The sequence below is a fragment of the Homo sapiens genome, chromosome 10, assembly GCF_000001405.40.
Source record: "Homo sapiens chromosome 10, GRCh38.p14 Primary Assembly".
NCBI lineage: Eukaryota > Metazoa > Chordata > Mammalia > Primates > Hominidae > Homo > Homo sapiens.
The window spans coordinates 78,986,901-79,013,062 of NC_000010.11; the positions used below are offsets into that span (position 1 = coordinate 78,986,901).

The 26,162-nt window shown below is 50.6% G+C and overlaps 1 long non-coding RNA gene across 3 annotated transcripts in view, besides 2 other annotated features; it reads right to left on the bottom strand.

Annotated features, from left to right (window-relative positions):
- Window positions 1–26,162, bottom strand: part of ZMIZ1-AS1 (ZMIZ1 antisense RNA 1) — a 124,123-nt gene that overhangs the window by 43,575 nt on the left and 54,386 nt on the right. The gene's annotated exons all lie outside the window — the stretch shown is intronic.
- Window positions 9,756–10,255: an enhancer, noted in NCBI's record as "H3K4me1 hESC enhancer chr10:80756413-80756912 (GRCh37/hg19 assembly coordinates)". NCBI's record gives its function as "activates a minimal SCP1, AML or CMV promoter by ChIP-STARR-seq in naive and primed H9 embryonic stem cells {active_cell/tissue: H9 hESC(naive and primed)}" and the evidence as "EXISTENCE:reporter gene assay evidence [ECO:0000049][PMID:30033119]".
- Window positions 21,959–22,459: an enhancer, noted in NCBI's record as "H3K4me1 hESC enhancer chr10:80768616-80769116 (GRCh37/hg19 assembly coordinates)". NCBI's record gives its function as "activates a minimal SCP1, AML or CMV promoter by ChIP-STARR-seq in naive H9 embryonic stem cells {active_cell/tissue: H9 hESC(naive)}" and the evidence as "EXISTENCE:reporter gene assay evidence [ECO:0000049][PMID:30033119]".

Genomic DNA, 26,162 nt, shown 5'->3' on the forward strand with positions numbered 1-26,162 from the left:
CCCTTCCCTTAGAAGTTTGCATTTTCATGGATTGAAATTCTTTGAAGCAGAACCCACATGTGTCCAAAGCCAAAAATTAGCCCGTCTTTGGGGTTCACTGACAAAGGAAAGACGGGTTTCAGAGGGAGGCACTGGGAAAATCCTGGAGACCTGGTCTAACACATGGAGGAACAAGAGGAATGGCCCTCATCCTGCCTGGCTGCTCTGGGCCTTGTGCAATGGATGGTTAGGCCCCCACTCCCCAGGGCATGAGTGTTTCCGCCTTCCTGCCCTCGCCTCCATCCTAGTGATGGAAGCTGGATCCAGGGTTCTGATGACCCTGTTAGGCCTCCTATCCTAAGCGCTTCTCCCCTCAACTTTTCAAGCCCAGTACCAATGCCACCTCCTCCAAGCAGCATTCCCCGACCTTCCATATCCCTGGATTCGCCTCTCCCTTAGAAAAAGGATCATTTTCTTCAGCCCAAACTATTAGGTCACACCGACTTCACACCCTGAAGGGCTCAATGGGCAGCCAGCACTTACAGAGCCCTTACAGGTGCCCTGCCAAGCCTCCACTATGGGGCGTACATCAGAGAATCATTCATTCACTCGTGCATTCATTCAAAAATCACCTTCCAAGCTGTTTGATGGGATATTTCTCACCTATTATGAGCCAGTCACCTTGACATCTCACCCTGACCCAGAGAGAGGTGAGCCTGAAGTGCCTGCCACCTGGTGTCATGGGTGCCCAGGATGGACCCAGGGCTGGAAGCCAGGAAGCCTGGGTCTTCATCAGCTACATGACCACAAGCAACGGGCTTCATCTCTCTGGGCCTCAGTTTTTTCATCAACAGAATGGGGACAAGAAACCATACCTGCCACCCTCCCCACCGAGCTATTGGGAAATAAGAGGAGCCCTGTCTGGGAAGCCCACCCAGCTTTTTAAAATGCTCTGCTGCCTATGAGATCGAGCAGCTGAAAGGCAGAGAAAAGAGTCCTGGCCTGGGGAACAAGGCAGCCCCTTTTTCTTCCCCCAGAGAACCTCAGTTTCCCCTTTTGTCATAAGAGGATGACAAGTCCTCCTCCCAGGACTGCTGGGAGGAGAATGGTCTGCTGGGACCTGCCAAGATCAGTGAAGTCAGAGCTCTCATCCAGGAGAGGAGAATAGGTGTGTGGGGGTTGAAGGGGGTGGGGGTTGGGGACAGCATGGGACATCCTGCATATGGTATCTGAGAACAGCAGTGGAGCCTGGGGTCCATGACCCCCTGAAGCAGTGTTACAGCCAGAAGGAGGTGGGCACCACTCATTCAGGAGCTGTGAGCATCGACTCTGGCACCAGACTGCCTTGGTTCCAAACCCCAGCCTCACCACTTACCAGCTGTGGGACACATAGACTTCTTGTTCTTGGTTCCTCATCTATAAAATTAGGATAATAATAATTGCTAGCTTATGGGTTGTTCAGAGGATTTATTCAGTTGATCTAAGTAAAGTGTTTAGAATAGGGCCAGCTCTTACAGAAGCTATGCCAGTGTTAGCTTTCACTGTTCACTCATTCCGCAGGTACCTGCTAGGCAGGGTACTGGGAACACAGCCGAGAAAAAGGCCCAGTGGCCCTACCCTCAGAGAGCAGACAGTCCAGACACACCAGACAGAGAGCTCACAAACTCATGGACAATGGCACATTGTGATAGTGCCAGGGATTAGGCAAACAGGAGATGGAGTGAGCTATTAAGGAGAAGGAGGAACGTATTATTTTGTAGCAGTCAGGGAGGGCCTCTCTAAGGAGGTGTCTTTTTGGCTAAGGACCGAAGGATGTAAAAGAGCCAGTCATGAAAAGAGCAAAGGGGGAGGGGAATGTCTAGGACATAAGAAGGGAGCCATGTCAGTGGCCGAGGGGCCAGGCTGCCCAGGAGCTCGTGTGAGCTGGACTGGCTGCCACTTGTGGGGCCCCTTCCTTCTCCACCTCATCCTTGCTCACTTAGGGCTTTGCTCTCCAGACAACTCCAAACAAACAGGTCTGACCTTGGGCATTGTGACCCCTGATTGGCCCTGGGAAGACAGGGCCACACAGGAGCCCTGGGCGATATGGGACAGACCCAACAGAAAAGGGCTGTGTCAAAAGCGGAGGTTGCAGGAAGGGGCAGGGCACACAGAGTGGCCAGCCAGGTCAGCAGCAGAGCGGTCACTCAAATCATCACTTCTTCCTTCCCGCTGCCTGCTTTCAGCCCCTCCTCCCCTCCTCCTTTCTCCATTACTCTTTCTTTCCCACTCAAGTGCTTAATCAGACTCAGAGGACAAATGTTTCAGTTATTGAGTTCTGTGAAACAAACTATTCCAAAAGCTTAGTGGCTCCTATCAACAATGGTCACTTACTTTGCTCACAAATCTGCATTGAAGGCAAGTCCTAGCAGGGAAACTCATTTCTGTTTCATGAAGCACCAGCCAAAGAAGTTTAACTGGAGGCTGGAGCATCCACTTCCAAGACAGCTCACTCAGATGGCTGGCAAGCGGGTGCTGCTGATGGGCGGAGCCTTGATTCCTCTCCAACCAGACCTCCACATGGGCCCCTCCATGGGCTACTTGAACTTCCTCACAGCATGGTGGCTGATGTCCAAGAGCAAGTATCCCAACAGACAGGAAGAAAGCTGCTAGTTTCTAAAGGCCTTAGTATTTGTTCTGTCGTATTTTATAGTCCAAGAACTTTTAGAGCCAGACTCAAGGGTGGATCCCATCTCTCAATAGGAGAAGTATCAAGACATTTTGGTTTTAAAAGCACCACAGCATATAGGATCAAGATATAAAAATCAATTGCATTTCTTTTTTTTTTTTTTTTTTTTTTTTTTGAGACAGGAGGCTGGAGTGCAGAGGCACGATCTTGGCTCACTGCAAACTTTGCCTCCCAGGCTCAAGCGATCCTCCCACCTCAGCCTCCCAAGTAGTTGGGACCACAGGTGCATGCCACACACCTGGCTAATTTTTGTATTTTCTGTAGAGATGGGGTTTTGCCATGTTGCCCAGGCTGGTCTCGAACTGCTGAGCTCAATTGATCCACCCACCTCAGCCTCCCAAAGTGCTGGGATTACAGGTATGAGCCACGGCACCTGGCTCACCAATTGTATTTTTATGCAATGAACAATCTGAAAATAAAATTAAGAAAAGAATTCATTCACAATAGCATCAAAAAGAATAAAGCATTTAGAAATTTAACAAAAGAAATAAAAAAATTATACACAGGAAACTATAAAATACTGCTAAAATTTAAACAAGATCTACATAAATGAAGATGTAAATAAATGTTCATGAATTGGAAGACTCAATACTATTAAGATGGCAATCTTTCCCAAATTGCCATCAAAATCTCTATCAAATATGTATCAAAATCTCAGCAGGCTTTTTTGGTAGAAATTGACAAGCTCATCCTAAAATGTATATGATAATGAAAACAACCCAGATTAGCCAAAATTTTGAAAAGCAAGAACAAGTTGAAGGACCTACACTACCAGATTTCAGATTTTACCGTAAAACTACAGTAATCATGACAGTGTCGTATTAGTATAAAGATAGACATAGATCAATGCAACCCAATACAAAATCCAGAAATAAATGCACACATGTACAGTCAATTGAGTTTCAACAAAGTGCCAAGACAGTTTAATGAGGAAAAGATACCCTTTTCAACAAATGATGCAGGGACAATTGGATATCAGTATGCAAAAAAATTTTTAAAAGAACTTAGATTCTCACTTCACACCATACACAAAAGTAATTCAAAATAGATTGTAGGTCTCAGCCAGGTGCAGTGGCTCACGCATGTAATCCCATCACTTTATTCGGAAGGCCAAGGTGGATGCATCACTTTAAGTCAGGAGTTCGGGACCAACCTAGCCATTATGGTGAAACCCCGTCTCTAATAATAAAATACAAAAATTAGCCGGGCATGGTGGCGGGCACCTGACATCCCAGCTACTCGGGAGGCTGAGGCAGAAGAATCGCTTGAACCGGGCAGGTGGAAGTTGCAGTGAGTGGAGATTGTGCCACTGCACTCCAGCCTGGGCAACAGAGTGAGACTCCATCTCAAAAAAAAAAAAAAATGACCATAGATCTAAATAAAAGAACGAAAACTATACAATGTCCAGAAAGAAAACAGAAGAAAATCTTTCTGACATTGGATAAAGCAAAGATTTATCAGATATGACACCAAAATAAGATCCAGAAGAGAAAAAGTTAATAAAATAAACATCAAAATTAAAACCTTTACACTTCAAAAGACATTAAGAAAATGAAAAGACAAACCACAGAATGGGAGAAAAGGCTTACAAATTATGTATCTGATAAAGGACTTCTATTGAGCATATATGAAGAACATTAACAACTCAGTGATAAACAAACAATCCTATTAAAACAAAAAGAGTTGAATAAGCACTTCACCAAAGACACAAGATGACTAACCTAATGGGTGCATGAAAAGAAGCTAGCATCATTAGTCATTAGGGAAATGCAAATAAAAACCACAATGAGGCACCCATACATATCTAGTAAAATGGCTCCAATAAAAAGAGACAATAGCAAGTATTGGAGAGGAAGCAGAGAAACTGAAATCTTTATACGTTGCTGGCATGACTATAACATGGTACAGCCACCTAGGAAAACAGGCAATTTCTTAAAAAGTTAAGCACACACTTTCCCATGACACCTGGGTATCTACCCAAGAAAAAGGAAAACATATGTCCACATAAAGACTTATATGCAAAGTTCATCATAGCACTTTTTTTTTTTTATTGTTTTAGAGGCAGGGTCTCATTATGTTGCCCAGGCTGGTCTCCACCTCCTGGGCTAAAGCGATCCTCCTACCTCAGCCTCCCAAAGTGCTGGGATTACAGGCATGAACCACCATGCGCATGGTAGCATTATTGGAAGTTGTCAAAACTTAGAAATAATCCAAATGTCCATGAACTAGATAAATAAAGTGTGGTGTGGCCATACATTCATAAACTACTTTGCAATAAGAAGGAATAAAGTACTGATATATGAAACAGCATGAATATACTTAAGAAACATTATGCTAAATTAAAGAAGCCAGACACAAAAGATTATTTATTGCATGATTCCATTTATACAAAATGTTCTAGAAAAGACAAAACTATATACAGAGAAAGTGGATGCTTAATTTTCCTGAGGTAGAGGGTGGGAGTGGGGACCAGCTGCAAGCAGACCTGAGGGAACATTTGGAATTGTGGTGACACTGCACAACTGTAAAGATTTACTAAAACTCATCAAGCGGAACACTCAGTGGATGACTTTCATGCTATGTAAATTATAACTTGATAAAACTGTTTTCCTAAAAATGCTACAGCAAGGTGCAAGCATGTAGAAGGGGCGGTGGGAGACCCTGGGGGTAGGCCCCATGGAAGGACAGAGGGCTGGACCCAACTTCCAGGAGCACCGAGACCCCCCAGGCCACAGACAAACTTTAGCCCCAGAAAGTGTCTTAATCAGGCCCTGGACCCTAAATCCCCCAGACCCCCAAGGCTGAGGACAATTCAGCAGCTGCTTTACCAGGCCCCAGGAGTCTGTCTTTCACCTCGGGCACCTGCCATCATTCACTCAGCTGTGCTGGGCTCAGTCTGCATCCCATCACCACCTGCGCTGTGCGGTCTAGGCTCCTTCCCCTCAGGGGACTCGCAGGAAGTGTAGCGGGCCCCTAGACCAGTCATTTAACCTCCCTGGGCTTCAGTTTCCTCATATGCTAATGAAGTGCCACTGATTGCCCCGCTTCTCTCACAGGGGAGGGGGAGGTAGGATCTGTGGGGGTGGGTGAGATGGTGCCCAAAATGCTGGAGATCATGAAGCAAATGTGGTGGGAAACTCAACAATGATGCCGTGGGGCATCCTGGGACATGGAAGAGAAGACTTCCAAGCCCAGCTCCAGCCCAAACTCAATATCCCCAAATCTCCCCTGCTCAGACTTGAGGGAGGAGAAACTCAGAGTCCCCCATCCAACCTCTATCATATTCAGGGGCCCTTCTAGCACAGCCTACAAGAGTTAGTGGCCCAAATTAGGCTTGGGCCCCTCCAGCACCAGGGGCCTAGCTCTTTCTAGGCAGCCCTTGCCTATCCAAACAACTCTAAATCTTGAAAAAGCATTTCCTGCCCTTCAGTAGGACAAGATATCCCTCATGACCTCCTCCAGCAACTTGGGTAAGCAGCACTGAGGGGTATCTGACTCCCTGGGCCCCAGCAACGGTCTGAACATTTTGATTCTGGGTTTGGACTGTCACCCCAGCATGTGTATTTTGAAAAAGTTCCCCAGATATACACAGTGCACGACACGGAGATTGAGAAGAACTTGGTCTCCTAGTGTGGTCTCTGGACCAGTAGCAGCACCTGGGAACTGGTTACAGACATAGATCATGGCCCCACCCCAGACCCACAATCTCTTCTAACCAGCCCTGCAGGTGCCTCTGAAGCTGATCAAAGTTTAAGAGCCAATGCTGAGGCTTCAGCCAATGACTGATTTGAGAAACAGATTTAACCTGACCATGGGATGGGAATCCTGAATGTCACCCACTCAGCCTCTCCGTTTCCCAAAGCAGTTCTTAGTTTGAAAACCACCAGTTGTGATGAGTCCTTTCGGTTTCCCCACAAGGAAAAAAAATTGATTAAACAAAAACACCTGACCTGAAGTTTTCCCTTCCTAAGAGAGGTGATAGTGGCCCATCAGTGCCCAGGGTGACAAGCCCAGTGCCAAAACATCAAGGCAGGCCAGGCGGGCCTCACGTTTCCCCCTACAACTGTCAGACCCTGCACTGCAAGCCCAGGGCCAGCCCACCGAGGCAGTGGGGGGTGGCGGGTGGCCATTGTTTCTGTCCTGCCTCCAGCAGGCACAGCAGACCCGAGTAATGACACTGGGGCCTGACAGCCTCCAAGGAACCTTTTTGTCTCACAGCCATGGCCAATGCCCATAATTGATAGGGATTGCGGAGCTGCCACCCTCACCCTGGCTAGCAATTAGTGCTCCCATTGCTGGCTGTCAAGAACTCCTGACACGTGCGGGGAGCAAAGGCTTGTCAGGTTTCTGGCCCACATGGCTCGTTATGCCAGGGGCACGGGCTCCCTGCCCCCAACCCCCTTTGATTTCTGTGGGATGGAGAGGGCAGGTGAGCTGCATCATCACTTCCATTCTTTTTTTAAGATGGTGGACAGAGGCTGCTGGTGACAGCTTCCCTGTCCATTTCCCCTCTAGAGTCTCTGAGTCCTGCACGGAGTGACCATTGGGAAGGGTTCTGGAGGGGCTCAGGTGGAGCCACGGACAGGAGTGGCAGTGAAGGGCAGATGGCCTGGGGGACTCAGGCTTGGGCCCCACCCAGCCTGGGGAGTGGGGGTAGTCATTCTTGTGTAGCCTTTGGTAAGACCCTTCTCAGAAAACTGAGCAGGTAGACCAGATCTGAATTTTCCAAACTATGGGACACATCCCATTAGTGGAGCACAAAACCCATTTAGCAGATGAAGATCGCATTCTAAAACCTGGGTACAGGATAGGATAGAATATAGCAAAACAGAACAGAATCAAATCGAATCGAATCATGTGCATTACATTTAGGTAAACACTGTTTCCTAAAAATTTTGTCCCAATGATATATTTATAGCATGTGCATGTGTACCAGAGTGCAATGCAAAGTTTTTCTTATTGCGAGTAAAGTTTCAAAGCTGCCCCACTGGATGCACGCTTAGTTTCCAGAATGGGGGCTGAACACTCCATCTGTTCTAGGTTGCATGGACCCAAAGTTTACAGAAGAAGACCCTGGAGGAGGTGAGGAAAGGAGAAAGCCCAGATGGCTTCAGGGAGCTTCTAGTCTCATTGGCATAAAAGGCAAATGGAAGACAGGGCACGGTGACTCACGGCTGTAATCCCAGCACTTTGGGAAGTCAAGGCTGGAGCAATGCTTGAGCCCAGGCATTTGAGACCAGCCTAGGCAACATAGTGGGACCTAGCCTCTACAAAACAAACAAACAAACAAACAAACAAAAAACATTAGCCGGGTGTGGTGGTGTACACTGCCCTCTTCCCCTCATCCTACCTGCCAATACTCCCACTCCCTGGCCACTATGTGATCTCACAGACTGGGCCGTCCCTTCCCCTTTCAGACAAGTATGGCCATTTTGGAATACCCAGGTACTCGGGAGGCTGAGGCGGGAGAAGAGCTTGAGCTCAGGAGTTCAAGGCTACAGTGAGCTATAGCTGCACCACTGCACTCCAGCCTGGGTAACAGAGTGAGACCCCTGTCTCTAAAAAAAAAGAAAAAAGAAAGGCAAACAGACAAGGAGGAGGCCACATGAGGCTCAAAGGGTAGGCGGGATCTCACTCACCTCCATGTGCCTCCCACCACCTGCCCACCCTTGCCCAGTGCCTGGCACAGAGGGAGCTCCCTAAACACTCCTCTAAGTGTTTTCCAAACTGGACTCCCATGGAGGGAGGAACACGAGCCTGCATTGGCTGTTTTCTGTGTGGCGGCCTCTCAGCTGGTTTCCCTGAGCCCAACCAGACTGAATAGGGGATGTCAGGGCTCATTCTTCGTTCTGTGCATCTTAAGGGGAACATGCACTAATGGAGTGCACTGCAGGGGGGTATGTGATGCGCTTCCTGTGCACAGAACTTTGCAGTTCACTCCATCAGAATCATCCTGCTTGACCCACATGCAACACACCAAAAGAAGTCCAACCCTGTGTGGTGAGAACTGCAGGAACTTTTACCTGTTGGAACCATGTTCAGAAATGACCATTAACTGACCACCTCTTGTACTTTACGGTTTACACAGCTCTTTCTCATGCCTTATCTGATGTACTCCACTCTATGAAATCAGTATCCCCATCCCCACTTACAGTTGAGGAAACAGAGAAGCTCAGAGAAGTACAGCAACCTGCCCAGAGTCACACAGCCAGCAAGCAGTCCAGCTGGAGGCCACCCACCCTGCCTGAGCCTGCTGGTCTGCCCTCTTCCCCTCGTCCTACCTGCCACGCCTCCCACTCCTTGGCCACTATGTGATCTCAGAGACTGTGCCATCCCTTCCCCTTTCAGACAAGTATGGCTATTTTGGAAAATCCTTGTAGAGCTAAGTCAGGTTCAACAGTGTCCAATAAAGGCTTTATATTTTTCTCTTTCCTATTAAATCATATTTTATTTAAAAGCATAAGGTCCCACATATCACCACTAAAGCAGCCTGCCCCGTGCTGGCTAGGCCTGTACCCACCAGCCTTCCCCCTGGAAGATGCAGATGGCCCCGACCCCTCCCCCCTCCTGCTACACAGAGTGAGGATATATTGGAGCTTATGACTATTACATTGTATCTGTCTTAAAAGCCAGCCCCTCTTTGCAGACACAGACACTCCCCAGCTCACATTTATCAGTTTTATTCCTTTAATGATTCAAACTTGTGCTGTGATGTGCTACTCAGAACGGAGGATTTTATGGATTTAACAGTTTTATTAATTTAAGAGGTTTCCACTGAGCGCCAGAATGGCTCAGTGTGACAAAGAAGGTATCATAAATGAATTGATTTGTCACGTATCAGAATGCGATCCAGCAGTGATTTCATTATTGGAGTTATTTTCCTCCAATTATCTGCAAACTTAAAATGCTAAAGAGCACCCCCTCCGCCCCCACCCCCAGCGGCAGCCGGCCTGGATCATTTGAGCAGGAAATAAATGCAAATCAATGGCCCAAATTTGCCGCCATGTGTGGAGGCTGCCCACGCCTCCCTCCTCCCCTCCACATCACCACTCAGAGGAAACAAAGCCGTGGGTCGGGGGGTGTCTGCATGTGAGGCCTGCAGGCAGAGGCCATCTGCAACCCTGTGTGCTGTGTCCAGGGGACTGGATCTCATCCTCGGTGGGGTCCCAGGGCCTGAAGGAGCCTTGCCTCCCATTCTCTCGTCCAACCCATGGATGATCATGAGAAAGGTATTTGGCCACAGCCCCTCCTGGCCATCCAGGCTTTGGGACATGGGTAGGGTGGATGGTGAAATAAGTTTACAGAGGCTGACCAGAGGGTGTTCCAGTATTGGCTCCATCCACACTTCACTCTGTGGCCAGGCAGTTCCAGAGCCTGATAAACTTTGCACAGTATCCCAAATGTGGCTGCACTCTCACTGCTGGGCTGCTGTGTGCTTAGAAGACACTGCCCCACCCCGAGCCCTCTCGTTTGCCCTTCACCACTCCATCCAGCTACTTCCTACCCTCCATTCCCTCCTCTACCCTTGAGTCCAGGCTGGGCTCCCACAAGCCCCTGAACTCTTTGGCTCTGAGCCCTTCTCCAGTCTGCATTACTCTGGTCCACTGAGTCCTCTGTCTGCCCCAGAAACTTCCCCTGGACCTCAGTTCAGACGAGAGCATGAATGAACCCTAAGTTCCTGGCCAGGACTAACTCCCTGAATCCGCAAGGTCCCTGAGACCCTCATTGGCTGCTGAATTTATTTGTTTGTGCATTCAGCAAACCACCACCAAATGTCAGGCACCCATCTGGGCCACAGACAGCAAGTGATGCAGCAGCCACTGCCCTGCCTGCCTTCAGGGAGCCCCTCCCCATCCGACAGGGAGATATGACATGGAACTAAAAGACAAAAGTGACCAGTGGCCTCACTGAACCACTTAAGCCCCGTAAGAACTCATACAGGGGCTGAGGGCTATACTTCTTCCTCTATACCGTCTGCCTGCCCTAGCTCTGTGCTCCACCCACCTCAGCCTCTCTGATCAATATGGGACCATCAGGGCTTCCCACGAGGCCTCAACAATAGAATTCAAAGTGACAGGGGGCAGTGGGTAATGAAGCTAGAGTTCCCACAGGCAAACCAGCTCCCCTGACTTTCCTGGCAAAGAAGGCCCAAGGCCTATTCGAATCCACTATTTTAAGAGGAAGGGAGTGGAGCAAGAATCGCTGTGTGTGACATACCCCTGAAGTGCCAGGAATGTGCCCAGGGCCCTTCTCCTTTCCTCCTGACAAGATTTCACAGGTGAAGAAAGGAAGGCCCAGGAAGATGAAGCAATCCCCCCAAGGTCACACAGCCAAGTGAGCCCAGGTCTGTGTGATTCCAAAGCCTCCAAAGACACTGTCTCCCTGCCCCTCCATGCCACTACCCAGCTCACACCCCCTTTAGCAACTCTTAGCATCTGCCAGGTGAAATCCCAAGGCTGCAGGACAAGCAGACAGGGCAGCCACAGTGGGGTGCAGCCCCCGAGGGTGCACGAGGGGGCTGTAGAATAGACCAGCTCAGTCTCTCACCCACTGTGTCTTCCTCGTTCCAGTGAGCTGAGGCTGCTGCCAGGCCACTGACAGTTCAGGCACAAGTGAAAGAGAAAGTCCCTGGTAAACTGTAAAGTCTGTGTCCATAAGAGCCAGGATGATTATGGGGGCTCACAGGCCCTGGGGGCCAGAAGGAGCACTGAGGGCTATCAGAGTGCACCCCAGGAGTGCACTCACCTCCCTTCCCACAATTCAGCAAGTCCTGAAAACCAGGCCTCTCCACGTGGCTCTACACCTTCGTGAGGGTGGAGGGGAATTGCCACATCTGTTTGTTTATCAGGGAAGCTGCAATCCTCACAGTTTCATCATCTCTCCCAAAAGTCAAGAGGAAATCAGAAAGTGGCAGGTTTGGTGGGGGGCACGGATGCTAAAAGGGCACAACATGGGCATTCCTGAAGCATCACTGCCCAATCCAGCAGCCCCCGGGAGAGGAGCAGAGACCTCAGAGCAGGTCTGATTGTCCCAGCCTGTGGGAACAGGAGACCTGAAAGCTGGCCTGAGGGGCCCAGGAGGTGGCCAAGGGTGAGCTATCCATACACAAGCCCTACAGAGAGGACTTAAACTAGACCACCCTGGTTTCCTGGGAAGCAGCTGGAGGGCATCAGTCTAAAACCCCCTGGGCAGGAGAAGCTGAGGCTCCAAGGGAACAGTGGGGCTACTCAAGCACCAGGCGATGCTCGTGCTGTGAGTAGGAGCTGGGTCTCCTGGATCCCCACACAGAGATCAAAAGTCTTGGGCTCTCAAGGCTGAGAGTTCTCCACCACCTCTACAGTGTCCCTCTTCCCTTACAAGAGTCCGAAGAGGTCAGCTGCCAGGGCCTCAGATGGCAGGGGGTAGCTACTCCACAGGCAGCCCATTCTGTTTTCCTCCAGCTAATTAGAAGGTTGTTTATGCACCTACCTATGCACAGAAGCCCACTTACTCCTCACACACACATGCACACACAGGTGTATACACACATACACACACACTTGAATGCCACATTCCTGCACACCATGCCAGGGCCAATGTGCGCTCAGATCAGATCACCCATGCAGACTCTCCTCTGCCTGCCCACCTGGGCTCTAGACTGACCAAGACCCCACCAGGCTGTGGGCAGTGCCTGACGGATGAGCTGACACCACCGAAACACGGGGGAAATGACTAGATCCAAGGTGAAGTGCGATTTCTCCCTTCTACCTCGAGTACTTCATTACCTCCCTCACCTCTGATGGCTAATAAAGGTATCTAATTCGTTGGTACTAAAATAGCCTCCTAATGTGCACCAGGACTATCTCCTAAAATTAATGCTATGACAAGTAATGAGGGTCTCCATTAGCTGCTATCTACATGTGGAAATTCTAATTTTCCCATAGTGGGCTAATGTATCTGAAAGCCCCCCTTTGGGGAACCTGACTTCCCAGTCGCTCAGGCTCACAATTCTGACCAGGGGCCACCAGTGACTCTGTGCTCCCCTTCCTTGGCACTCGGAACCAGTCACTTCTCCATGCATGGGCCCAGAGCAGGCTACTGCCTACACTTGCCCTAGAACCTTTAAGCCAATCGTTTGACAGCTGTGCCCGGCATTGTGCTGGGCACTGGTGCAGACACAAGGAATAATAACCCAGCCCAGTCCTTGCTTTTGGGCCAGGCTGAGACAAGGGTTGGGCTGGACCAGGCCCCGTGTTTGGCAGGACAGGTAAGGGTCTCAAGGTGTCCCTGAGCTAAACGAGACAAGGATGTACACATGTATTCTCGGCGGGGCCCTTGTTGGGAGTCATGGTGCTCCCAGGGGTTATAATCTACTCATCGCAGGGGAAATCCATGAATGCTTCTTAGAGGAGGTGGCAGTTCACCATCATTCTTGTTCCACTTGGCATTGCATGAACAAGAGATGTAAGTGGAATGAGGGTATGATATGGTATGGACCTCCACTTTTGCATTCTTTGATGGGACTACTAACTTCTGGGACTCTTCCTAAGATCCATGATTGCATCTGGTTCACTATTTTGGGGTCACAGCCAAGTCCTCCAGGTGAGACCCCGTTCCTCTCCACTGTGCGCAAACACGAAGTATTTGTCAAGTTCTGACTCTCACCAACACATACCAGGCTTCCAACCAGCAATGCCTGAAGGCCACTGGATGAGCAAGGGCCATTCAGGTGACTTGTCTGCCTTCCTAACAGACCATGAACTGTGTGAGGGCTGAGGCCAGCACCTGCAGTGACAGCTACCTGGCCATGAGCTGTGTGGGCATGCTTATCTCCAGCACCCACAATGATGGCTGGCACACGGCTCACCAAATACCTATGTAACTTCACCTCCATTATCCTATTTGATCCTCCAACTGTCTTAGGAGGCAGAAGGGTTATTATTAAGATTCAAAAATCACAGATGGGGAGACTGAGGTCCCCAAAAGGAGAAGCGGCTGCCCAACATCACATATCAGTAGCAGCTGGCACCTAGAGATCTGCAGCAGAAGCATCCTCATTGGTGCCAAGTCCACTTCTTCCTGGGTCCCTGGTACCCCGTGAGTTGAGGGCTGTGCTTGTGACAAATTGCCACGTAGAGGAATTGGTTCATCTCGCACCATTACGCTGGACCAGTCTTGTTTTCTAGATACATGCTGAGCTTAGGTGTCCCAGCTCCAGGGGCATGGCATGGCCCCCACCCAGCCCTGCCTCATGGCTGCACGGTGAGTCTCCCAACTACAAATAGATGGTGTTAAAAACAGAGTGTGGACCCCTTCTTTTCAGCCATGAGTCCACTGAGTTCTCTGTGGGCCCCCTGAGAAAGAGAACCAGAGTCCCTTCTCTCCTCTGCACGATGTTGTCTTGCTCCCCAAGAGCCAGCCCCCACCAGCCATTTTCTGTCCAGTCTGTGCATGGTGGCTTTGGTCAATACCTGTGCATTCCAAACCCATGCTATCGCCTGCACGCATGAGGCTCCCGAGCTCGGGGGCTTCCTCTCTGGAGCACCTCTGGGGCCGCTTATCTCGGCTCAGCAAATCCAGCCCTGCATGCCCCCTTCCTGTGTGGACGATCGCCTGCCCTTCCACCCTCCTGTGGTATTTCCCAGAACATCCATATTGCACAATGGGAAGCATGGCCCCACAGCTCTGCTTCCTCTTGAAAATCCCACAGGCATGGGGGACCGAGGGTATGGGAGACATCTCCAGGAAGGTCCTCTGCTGCTGCTGTCCCAGAGTGCCTTTCCTGCACATCATGTGGCATGAACACTCACTCATCCTTCAGCCTAGTTGTCACTTCCTCCAGGAAGCCTGCTCTGATTACCACCACTGCCCCCTGTCATTTTTCCAGTTCAAAAACATGCTCAGGGATTTGGACTTGAATACCACATGAGTCAGTGAGCAATTGTAAGCAAGGAAGGAGAATTGTTTCAATTGTGATGTAGGAAGGTCCCTTCAGGGAAGAAGTGGTCAGAGGGAAGAGCAACTGGGTAGAGAAAAGCAGCCAAGAGGTGATGTCAGTGTCCCCAGCAGGCAGGAGGTGGCAGTGGCTGGCGGTGGGGTGGGAGCAGTGGAGTGGGAAGGAAGTGGGCAGAACCAGAACCAAGGGGTGGGTAGGAGGCAGGACTGCCCAGAAGAATTAGGGCACCCAAGAGGCAGGACTGCATGGTGGCTGGTAAAATTAGAGCACCTGAAAGACAAGAAGTGTCCAGCAGATCCCCAGAATCTTGTCTGGGGGACTGGGTGGGTGGCATACCCAGGGAGAGGTGAGAGTTCCCTAAGATGGCTGTGGAAACTGATTATAAATGGTACAGTCCTACTCAAACAGTATTTCCTTGGCATTTTGCTTTAAAGATTTCCTTTGCACCTGTAATTCAGCACTTTGGGTGGCTGAGGCGGGAGGATCAGTTGAGTCCAGGAGTTCAAGACCAGCCTGAGCAACATAGCAAGACCTAATCTCTACAAAAAGTCAAAAAAATTAGCTGGGCATGGTGATGCATGCCTGTAGTCCCAGCTCCTTGGGAGGCTGAGGTGGGAGGATTGCTTGAGCCTGGGAGATTGAGGCTGCAGTGAGTTTGATAACACCACTGCACTCAGCCTGGGTGACAGAGACCCTGTCTCAAGAAAAAGGAAAAAAAAAAAGGAAAGAAAGAAAGAAAGAAAGAAAGAAAAAAGATTTCTATTGCACACAGTTCAGCCAAGAATTCCCAGGGCAGCTTCCAGAGACCCTGTGCCCACAGGTCCCTCTGTGACCTCCCCAGTCCTCCCTATCTCTCAGTCAAGGCTTTCCTCATCCTCCTCCAGAAAAGAGGTTGACCCTCCACCCTTCAGGAACCTCTTAGCTTTTTCTCCTCCACTGGCTCCTCTCAGCTGCACAATCAGTTGCCCCGCAGGGAGTGTCCTTGTGACTGGGTATTACAGTGGCTAAGAAAAGCCCTGGGGCCAAGCCACGGAGGCTCAACCCTGGCTTTGTGACTTACAAGCTGATGCCATGAGTGATTTGCTAACCTTTCTGCGCCTCAGTTTCCTCATCTTTGAGATGGGGATGTTAATAATATCAGCTACCCCACTGGTGGGGTTGAGGATCAAATGAGTCACTAACAGGCCACAGGTAGCCACCTAGCCCAGTCCCTGGCCTACAGTAGGGGTTTGGGGAATAGCAGCAAGGATTGCTGTTATTTCTATGATGCCTGGGGTTCCCCCCTTGCCTGGAGAAGGGGAGACAGCAAGTCAAGTCACTAAGTCCAGCCCACATTCAAGGGGAGGCATGTCAAAGAATACACAGGCATATTTCAAAAGCCTCAAGTTTGGCACCTACGTGTGATGAAATGTGACTTAATGGTTATTAGCAATGGTGCAGCTGGCCGGGTACAGCAGCTCACGCCTGTAATCCCAGCACTTTGGGAGGCCGAGGCGGGTAGATCACCTGAGGTCAGGAGTTTGAGATCAGCGTGGCCAACATAGTGAAACCCCGTCTCTACTAAAAGTACAAAAATCAGCCAGGCATTGTGGCAGGGGCCTGTAATCCCAGCTACTCAGGAGGCTGAGGCAGGAGAATTGCTTGAACCCAGGAGGCGGAGGCTGCAGTGAGCCGAGATCGTGCCATTTCACTCCAGCCTGGGCAACAGAGCGAGACTCCTTCTCAAAAAAAAAAAAAAAAAAAAAAAAAAAAGCATTGGTGGCAGCCGAGAGTTGAGTTTGAGCTGCCTCATTCCAGTAGTATCTCGTGCTGATGCTGGGCCATGTGGATGAGCAGCGGCAGGGACCTCTGTTATTCCAGCAACCCTATGCCCTGCCCTTTGTGGGACCCAAAGCTGCCTCCTCCCAAGCCTGTGGGCTCAAGGGACTGCTGCCAGCCGCCCCCGCTGTCTGCTGCCATCCTGTGCCCCCACTCTGAGTCTGCGAGGTGGCCTTACCCGCCAGCTGCCTGGTGACTGTGAAGAATGACAGGCTCCTCCTTCAAGGGTGCGCACTGGCCCTTATCACAAGAGAGTGATGTCTGCGGCACTGAGCCGGGTGATCCTGCCTGCCCGTTCAGCACTCTGCAGAGGGCAGGGCGGCCGCAAGAGACAGAAATTCCATTTGACAAACTCTCCATGTGGCTGGGCAGCCAGACAGGAGCAGAATGAAATCAAAAGGGAGGAAAATTGGCCTAGCTTCCTAACCAGGTGCTGAGTGGATGCACCAGGCTTCAGGAGAGGGAATCAAAGAGGGAGAAAATTGGTGGCCTTGGTCATAAAGGGGATTGATTACCCAGGGACCTGTCACACCCACCAAGGTCAGCAGAGTGGCCTTGGCTGGCCCTGTTTCCTGGAAGACAGGGTGCCTTTGGCAACTTCAATTCACCCGGGTTCAACTAGCTAATAAGTGTGCTGGGTCAGGAGGAGGGTGGTCAAGGTTTTCCAATTATGAGCCCTTGAAGAGAGGGCTTCAGGGCCTGAGAAGGTCTGAACATGACCCCTGTCCATGGGCGGTGGAGCGGGGCTAGAGAGGAGCATGCCTTGGCTTTGCACTCAGATGAAACTGAGTTTAATGACTACCTCTGGTGGGTAAGTCCCTTCCCCTCGCTGAGACTTTGTTTCCCATCTGTCAAATGGGAGTGTCGATACTTTGCTTTATTAAGAGCTTGCTTTGTGCCGGGCACTTTGTGACCTACTTTATGGGTATGAACTTATGTCATCAGAACAGTAATCCTAAGAAGCAGCTGCTATTATTATTATGATTGGCATTTTACAGAGGAGGAAATTCAGGCTCAGGAAATTTAATGTTCCCGGGTCCTGCTATAGGTTGAGCACCAGATCTATGCATGGGTGACTGGCTGGTATGCAAACCTTTGGCCACTGTGCTGTCTGTCATCAAGCCAGGCGCATCCACTTAGGGTTTGTAAGGATTCATGGAGATGTGCTAATGACAGCAAACTAGGAGCCCAGTCTACGTGCTGAAACCAGAATAAGAACTTTCCATGCGTTGACTCATTTGTTCCTCACAATAAACCTATGCAGTAGGTACGACTGTAACCTGCACTTACAGGTGAGGAAATTCAGGCACAAAAAGGTCAAGTCTCTTGTCTAAGTCACCAAATTTATATATGGCAGAGATGGGAATTGAGCCCAGGAGGCTGGCTCCAGAGTCCTTCACTTAACCTTATGCAAAGGCATAGCAAGAGCCTGGCCTGGGGTCCAGCACACAGCACATAGTAGGGCTCGGGGAGGGGCAACCTCAGCTCTTTTCCACCTGGGGCAGCCCTTCTCCCTAAAAGAAACCTAAATGCAGTGAACATGGAGGAAGCCCACGTGCCCACTACAAGTCTGGCTCTGGGAGATTTAGGGATGTCCCCCACCGCCCCAGCCTGGGCTTCCAGCCTGGGCAGGGAATCAGGCTGACTTGGGAATGTCCCTAGTTCAGGGAAGACCAACATAGAGCTGGGAGTGGGGTTGCCCAATGTGCAGGGGCTTCTGGGAAAAGAACAGCAAAAGGGCAGGTAGGATGTGGGAGGTGGAGATGTGTCCTGAGAAAGGGAGAGGGCAGTCCTGACGAGCACCCTGCCTTGAAGAGCTAACAGGTGTGAGGCTGCCAGACAGGTGAGCTGTAGCAGCCCACAGCTGGCAGATGGAACGACTCTCAGACCTCCCACTCCCAAAAGTCTCATGATGCCTGGCTGGAGCCCGGGGGTCACAGGGTGCAGCCAGCAGGCAGGGAGTGTGCTCTCTAGATGCATAAGCTCAGGAGAGCGGCAGGAAGGAGCAGCCAGCTGCACTCCAGCCAATGCTCGGCTCAGGCCATCCCTGCCCCCGGCCAGACAGGAGCCCTGGCCTCGATTCTGAGGGGCTCCACCAGCTTTTGCTCCCATCCTCCAGCCACCTGGGACCCCACCCCTTAAATCACTACCCCAGATCATTAAACTAGGAGTCCGTAATGCTGACACTCCCTCAGAGAGCATTTATCTGGAAAGTCATAAAATTGCACCACGGATGGTAATTAACGATTAGTGAGGTTTATCCCTCTATTGGTTCTGGACTGTGGGAGCCTGTCATAAGGATAGAGGCCAGTGTGCTGTTCTCTCCCCATGGTGGAGGTGGGTGGCTGCCACCGCCTGGTTCTTGAATGAGAGCTGTGCCCACAGCAGAGGTGAACCTCTGCAGCCCCTCATTTCTGGTGGCTCCCAAGCCACCTTCCCAGCAAAACCATCTAGGCTGGCTCCTAACACCTGCCCCCTTATCAGCTCTGTGCCTTTGAATGTGCTGTGCCTCTCCCAGGACACCCTCTCCTCATCTCCCACCCTGTCCATCCCTTCAGGGGCCCTGCTGGGACCACACCTGCATTGATGTTCGCCTGGATGCGGCCAGTCTCCGTATGCCTCCCAGGACTGCATCTTGACCCCTCAGCCAGGCTGGATGCTCCCAGAGAACGCCTGTTTGCTCTTCTTCCATCTCCATCACCTCCATCCTCCCAAACCCAGAACAGAGTATGAGCCCAATAGACCTCACAAATGACCCACGACACTCGAGTCCCACCCCAATCTCTACACAACACTGCTGTGCGGGCGTTTCCACATGGCCCTGAGGACCAGCTCCACACTCCTCAAAGGGGTTCCTGACCCAGACAAGACTAAGAACCTGTGCCAGCCGCTAGGGAAATGGAGACCCAGACAGGAAGTTAGGAGGTTTCTTAGATCTGCATTTTGGGTGGAAGAGCAAGGACTCAAACCAAGGTCTTCTGGCACCGAAGTCTGGCTCCCTAGAAAGTATGGTAGCCCACCTGAAGTCACCTGTGCCCCAGGGTGTGGGCCAGCCCCACCAACAACTCCCTTTGTTACTCCAGGCACGTCCCTGACCCCTGGGGCCTCAGGGTGGAGGTGATGAGCAGAGCATAAATCCGCTCAGTGCGAGCAAGCTCTGCTGGAATCACCATGACAAATCATTTATCCAGCCTAAAATCAGAAGGGACATGGGGTGGGAGAGGCCCCTGGGGGCCGAGTGGGCCTGTTGCGCCTCCTTGGATACAGGCACCAACCTGCGCACTGCCCTTTTCATCTGGTCTGCCTGGCTCCCTATAGGCAGTGCCTACTCACTGCGCTCTCCAGGACAAGGCAAAAGCCAGGCCAGCTCCCCAGGCCCCTGGCCCCTGGCAATGGCATCACTCCCACAGACCCAGAGCTTCCACAACTGAGACAACTCCCAGGGTGCTGGCCAGTTGAGCCCATGAGTGTCCTTATTCACAGACAGTTTATCCTCAGCAGCCCAGTACCCACCACCTGCTGTTAGAGCCTCCCCTGCTGACCTGGGGTCACCGAGGCCCATTAGGATGTCCAGTCCAGCCTTGTCCAAAGGCTTCCCCAAGACGCTCGGTGGATACAAAGGGCCCAGGACTTGGGAAAGCTGCGCGGCAAAGCTGGTCTTAAAGACTGAGAGCCCATTGCACATTCCAGGCCCAGACAAGGCTTTCAGGAGAAAACAAGACCAAATTTCTTAAGCATCCTATATATGCGTGTGAGAGTGTTTCCACATGTACTTTATAAGCACAGAGAGAGACACGCGAGGAAACATCGCTTGCTCTGCAAAGTGAGAACGACGAAGAGTGGTGATGATCGATGTTTGCTTTATATGACTCTGCACTTTGTGTGTGTCTCAGTGAGTCTGCATTTTCTCTGAAATTAAATCAATTATTTTAATAAAAAAGAGTTGGGAGAAAAAGCTGCTGAACTTTAACCCAGCATTTCCCAAACTCACCTGATGATGAGTTGCTGTTCTGTGCAACGCCTAGAAATGTCAGAGATATGCATAGACTGTAGTCTGGAGACAGATAAACTTACCCAGCTTTTAATACATAAGACCATCGTGCCTTCTGATGCTGAGAGGCAGAAACAGGAAGAGGCTTGCAGAATACAGACACTCCATCAACATCAGACTGGAGCCCAGAGCTCCCTACAGCCCAGTCCTAACCCTGCTGCTCTGCCAGTTCCCTCTTTAAGTAGGAGGGACATTACTCCAGGGGTGGTGGAGTGGTTGTGGCAGTGACACAGAAGCACCTGGCAGGGAGGGTGACAGGGCCACAGAGGAGTCGGGCAGAGCCAGTATTGGGAAGACACAAGCTGCTCTAAGAGAAGAACTGAAAATCATGTGATCACACAGTACACCCCTGACATCCTACAGCCACAGACCAAATCCCTGCTCCAGCCCTTCTGGCTTCTACCCAGCAAGTTGCCTAATCCCCCTGGGCATGGAGTGGAATAGGGGTTGGATGGAATGACCCCTAGAGTCTCTTCAGCCCAAGATTCCAGGGGCTTCACAATGATCAGCATGGGCACTATCCTGCAAATCATCGCCTCCACCTTATAAGTGACGTAATCAAGACTCAGACAGGTTAATTGACTTCTTCAAGGTCAACAGAGAATAAAAACGGAGTCCAAGACCCATGCTGTCATTGGCCTTGCCATTGGTCATCCTCTGCTTTGTGGCTTCAGGAACTGCTATTTGTGTCTGAGCCAGCCACAGTGTGAGACAGATGGTGTTTCCAGTACAGGCTCCACCTACTAAGTGTACAATCTGGACCTGTTGAGTAACCACCCTGAGTCTGTTTACTCCTCTATAATTGGGAACATCATCTCATTGGTTATATGGCAATATCATCACATCAACTTAGCACAGGGCCCCACACACTTAAGTTTTTGCTGAATTAGAACTATTATTGTTACCATCATTCTATAAATTTATCCTATGGTTGAGAGAAAAAGGAGAGGCAGGGATTGAACTCAAGATCTACTGATCTATTCAAGATCTATTCAAGATCAGTAGATCTACCTCCTCCTGTGCAGGAGGAAATCTGCACAGACACATTCCAGCCCCTGTCTGGAACCTCAGTTTCCCCATCTATAATAAGAGAGGCTATACTGGGTGACTTCTGGGAGCCCCCAGATCTATAGTCTGCATGGAATAAAGCTCCCATGAAATGCTTTTTTCCCACCATGGGCTGGAGAAGTTTGCCTTCCAGCAACCTATAATCCTTCCTGGGAGATGGGCATGTAGGGGTGGTGAAAGGGAGGAGGGACAGGCAGGAACAGGACCCAAGACAGAGTGGAGAGGAGATGACTTCGGCACTTCCTGTATGCCAGGCACTGGGATAGGAGCTTTACACAGACTAACTCATTCAGTCCCCAGAACAAACCTGTGGGGTTGATACTAGTTAACCATTTTACAGACAAGGATACTTACAACCATAGAAACAAAGTAACGTGCCCAAGGTCACAGGGTTGATGAGGCAGGACTTGAACCCAGACCTCCCAGACCTTCATGGCTTCAAAGACTGTGCCCTGAACCACTGGGTGATGCGAGCTCTGGGTCTGCCTGCAGAGACAGAGACGTGCAGAGAGGGAGAGAGGTGGGGAGATGGAGCCGAGGGAGCAAGGCACAAGGAAGAGAAGAGGCACTGTGCCAGGGCAGCCCAGGCACACTATCTGGGAGGGGAGGGGAATCCCATCTGGAAATCAATTATTTGCCTCCACTGGGGGCCTGTTGAGTTTCAAAATCATTGTGCCCAGGGTAGAAAAGACAGGGCCCCCTCTTTGTGGGGCGGCAGAGGGTCCCCTGGTCCCAGCATCACCAGGAAGGAGGTGCCTGCTGGCCTGAGAGAAAAGCAGGGTCTGAACTCTTTATTTAGTGACCAGAGAGCCACAGCCCAGGAATGTGTGGCCACTGAGCCAGGAGGGCTGCTCCACCCACCACTGCCAGGGACACTCCAGCACAGGTGCCCCCCCACCCCAACAAAGGCCGCTCGCTGGGAGGCAGTGCGCTCCCAGATGCGGTGTGAGGAATGTTTGTCAGCTCTTGACACTAATATTATTTAAGGCCCAAAGTCTAATGTAAGGCTTCCTTTTAGCAAGATTGTCTCATTTAATAAAGCTCCCTGTCTCTGTTCCCCCCAAGGTAATCGCGTTGATGATAACGCATTCCCTGCACTGTGATTTGATCTGGGAATAGAATTATCACCCAGCCTTGCTTTGCTGTCAAATGTTCCATTTGTATTTTTATTTTTTCCCCTAGAATAAGTAAACAGGAAGCCATCCAAGTGGAAGGCTCTGCTCACCTGGGGCCTTCCACGCTGGCCTCCTTACCAGTTCACTTCCTGTCTTCAGGAGCCACTTTCTCATTAATTCAATCAACAAACATTTCCCAAATGACTGTACCTTAGGCTGCCCCTACATTGCGGTCGCCTGAGGCAAGTCACCCAATCTGTTTGAGTTTCCGTTTATTGCTGGGTGGAAAGGACATCATAAGCACATAAGACTAACAGTCAATCAGACCCTGGTTCAAACCACCGCTCTGGGCACGGTGCGGTGGCTCATGCCTGTAATCCCAACACTTTGGGAGGCCAAGGTAGGTGGATCACCTGAAGTCAGGAGTTCGAGACCAGCTTGGCCAACATGGTGAAACCTCGTCTCTACTAAAAATACAAAAATTAGCCAGGGGTGTTGGCAGGCGCCTGTAATCCCAGCTACTTGGGAGGCTGAGGCAGGAGAATCGTTTGAACCCAGGAGGCGGAGGTTGCAGTAAGCCAAGATCGCACCACTGCATTCCAGCCTGGGGGACAAGAGCGAGACTTCTCTAAAACAAAACAAAACAAAACAAAAAAAACCCGCTCTGCCTCTTACCAATTACGTGCCCCAGAACAAGTCACTTCACCTCTGAGGTTTGATGCTGTCACTCAAGACACCACCTACATCACAGGATTGTTGTGAGTAGGGCCAGGACGAGGATGAGCATGCGATGCCCCCCTGGTTCAAACATTAATGAGGGGCTCACCCCCACAACCCCTCTGCACTTGCACAGCTCTGAGAGGGAGGGCCTCCTGAAATTTCGTGCACTCTTAAGAAGGAGGATTAAATGAGATGATGTATGCCAAGTGCCTGGCACATGGTAAATGCTCAGTAGACTGTTGCCGTCCTCATCATCATCATCACCATCACCATCATCACTCTTACTCTTCATTAAGTGAGAAATGAAAGCCCTTTAAAATCTCTAAGAGGCTAGATTGGTATGTGCAGAGTGGATGTCAGACTGGAAATGCTCAACTCATGTGCTGTGTGGCCATGGCTAGTCCCTTCACCTCTCCAGCCTAAGTGCCCAGCTGCGAAACAATGGTGTTCTTAAACTTAGTGACCCAGGTACATGTGAACATGTGGGAGAGCCTGTCACTCACCCCACGCTGCCATCCATCCCTGGGTTAGTGGACCCAGGAAGTGCTAGGAGCCTGGTGGGCCCCAGGCTGCAGATACCACACACAAGGTCACGCCTGGTTAGCAATCGAGTCCAGCATGCAAAGAGGGGGTGCTGGAGGGCTCCAGAAGAACTAGCTCCAGGACTTGGCAGGGCTCAGCTGGGCTGACAACTTCTTCCTTCTTACACATCACTAGCAGATCCCTGAAAAAGGGCACAGGATGCAGAGCCAGGGCAGCAGCCTTTAAATTCTGCCTCTTCTGGGCATTTATTGTGGGACCTCAGGCACTCGGAGCCCAGGCTCCTTCTGTGTCGTATGGTGTATCCTGATAGTCCTGGAAGAGAAAAGTCACTCCAGAGGAGTAACTAATGAAGGGACTTTTTAAAAGGTAGGAGCAGGGTTAAAGACTCCAGAAAGGGCTGGTGAAGCACCCCACGGTTCACAACATTGGGAGCCCCTACTACCCTGGGGCTAAAAACAGAAGGGGAAGGAACAGTTCTTAAAAGCCCTGTGGGGCCAGCACTGACATGAAGGAGACAACAAACCGGCAGGGGCTGTGGCATTTGGTAGGGAACCACAGTCCTTGCTATCCCATGTGGTTTGTGGATTGAACCAGTGAGTAAGTAAATGAATGAATCTGATTTCCAGCCTATTTATCCTATGGCCGATCACATTTTCCAAATGGCTGCTTCAATATCTCTCATCCCATACACTCTTCTTCCAATAGGACTTTAACACTTCTTGAATCTGGGCATAGTTGTGATGACAGCAGAAGTGACACTATGCAACTTCTGAGGTTGGGTCAAAATGTGATGCAGCTTCCACCTGGTTCTCTTTGGGATGCTCATTCTTGGAAGGCAGCCACCATGTGTGAGGAAGCCCAGGCAGCCACTGGGAGAGGCTACATATAGGTGATCCAGGAGACTGTCACAGCTGAGGTTCCAGCTGACAGTCAGCATCAATTGTCACATGTGACTGACAGAGCTTTCAGATGATCCCATCCCCCAGCCTCAGTCTTCCAGACTGAGGTCCCAGACACTGTGAAATGGAGACAAGCCATCCCTGCTGTGCCCTTTCTGAATTCGTGACCCTTAGAATCCATAGCACAACAAAATGGTGGTTGTTTTAGGCTATGATATAGTTATGCAGAAATAGTAACTGCAAAGAATTTCACTGACTGAACTCAGCCACAGCCACAGCCCAGTGAACAAGTGAATTGTTTGCTTCAGTCCATAACGGTCACCCTCCCTGGGCACACAACGGGGTGGAGAAGGGTGAAGAATGAATATGAGAGGGAAATGGAGAAAATCTACCACACATAGGGAACATAGGGTGTGAGGGTTTTAGGACCCAGACTGGACAGGTGCTCCATCCATCCTAGCAGAATCTAAAGACCCATTCTTGGCCAGGCAGGCACGGTGGCTCACGCCTGTAATCCCAGCACTTTGGGAGGCTGAGGCGGGCAGATCACCTGAGGTCAGGAGTTCAAGACCAGCCTGGCTAACATGGTGAAACCCCATTTCTACTAAACATACAAAAAATTAGCTGGGCGTGGTGGCGCGCGCCTGTAATCTCAGCTATTCGGAAGGCTGAGGCAGGAGAATTGCTTGAACCTGGGAGGCAGAGATTGTGGTGAGCCAAGATCGCACCATTGCACTCAAGCTTGAGTAATAAGAGCGAAACTCCATCAAAAAACAAAAAACAAAAAAACCATTCTTAGTCCCACTTACCTGCACTATTGCCCCAGCCGCCTTTTGCATCTCCTGCCTTTCCCAGGCCTCACCTGACCCAGCCATGCCCATGTTACCAAAGAACAGCGCACCCCTCCTACCTGCTCACTTCTGACTTCTCAGCTCATGCTGCCGGCCAGGCCCCAAGGCACTCCAATCCAAGCTCCTCAGCCAGCAGAGGCTCCATACACTCTGGCCTGGCAGGTGTTAGAGACTTCCGGGTTGGGGGATCAGATAGCTAGAGGGACTGACCTTCTGACTCTGCCCAGTGCATGCACACCAGGAACCTTCCCTCCCCTTGCCTTCCTCCTGCCTGGAATTCCCTCCCCACCATGCATCCAATGCCATCTCCATCATGAAGCCTTCAAAGAATTGACCCTCAGCCACTACAGCCCTGTTCCTCCCTAAACTCTGCCCAAAGATACAGATGTGGTTGTAACTTTCCTGAAAATGACATCAGGAGAATTTGAGGGCAGCATCTGAGTAAGAGAGATCAT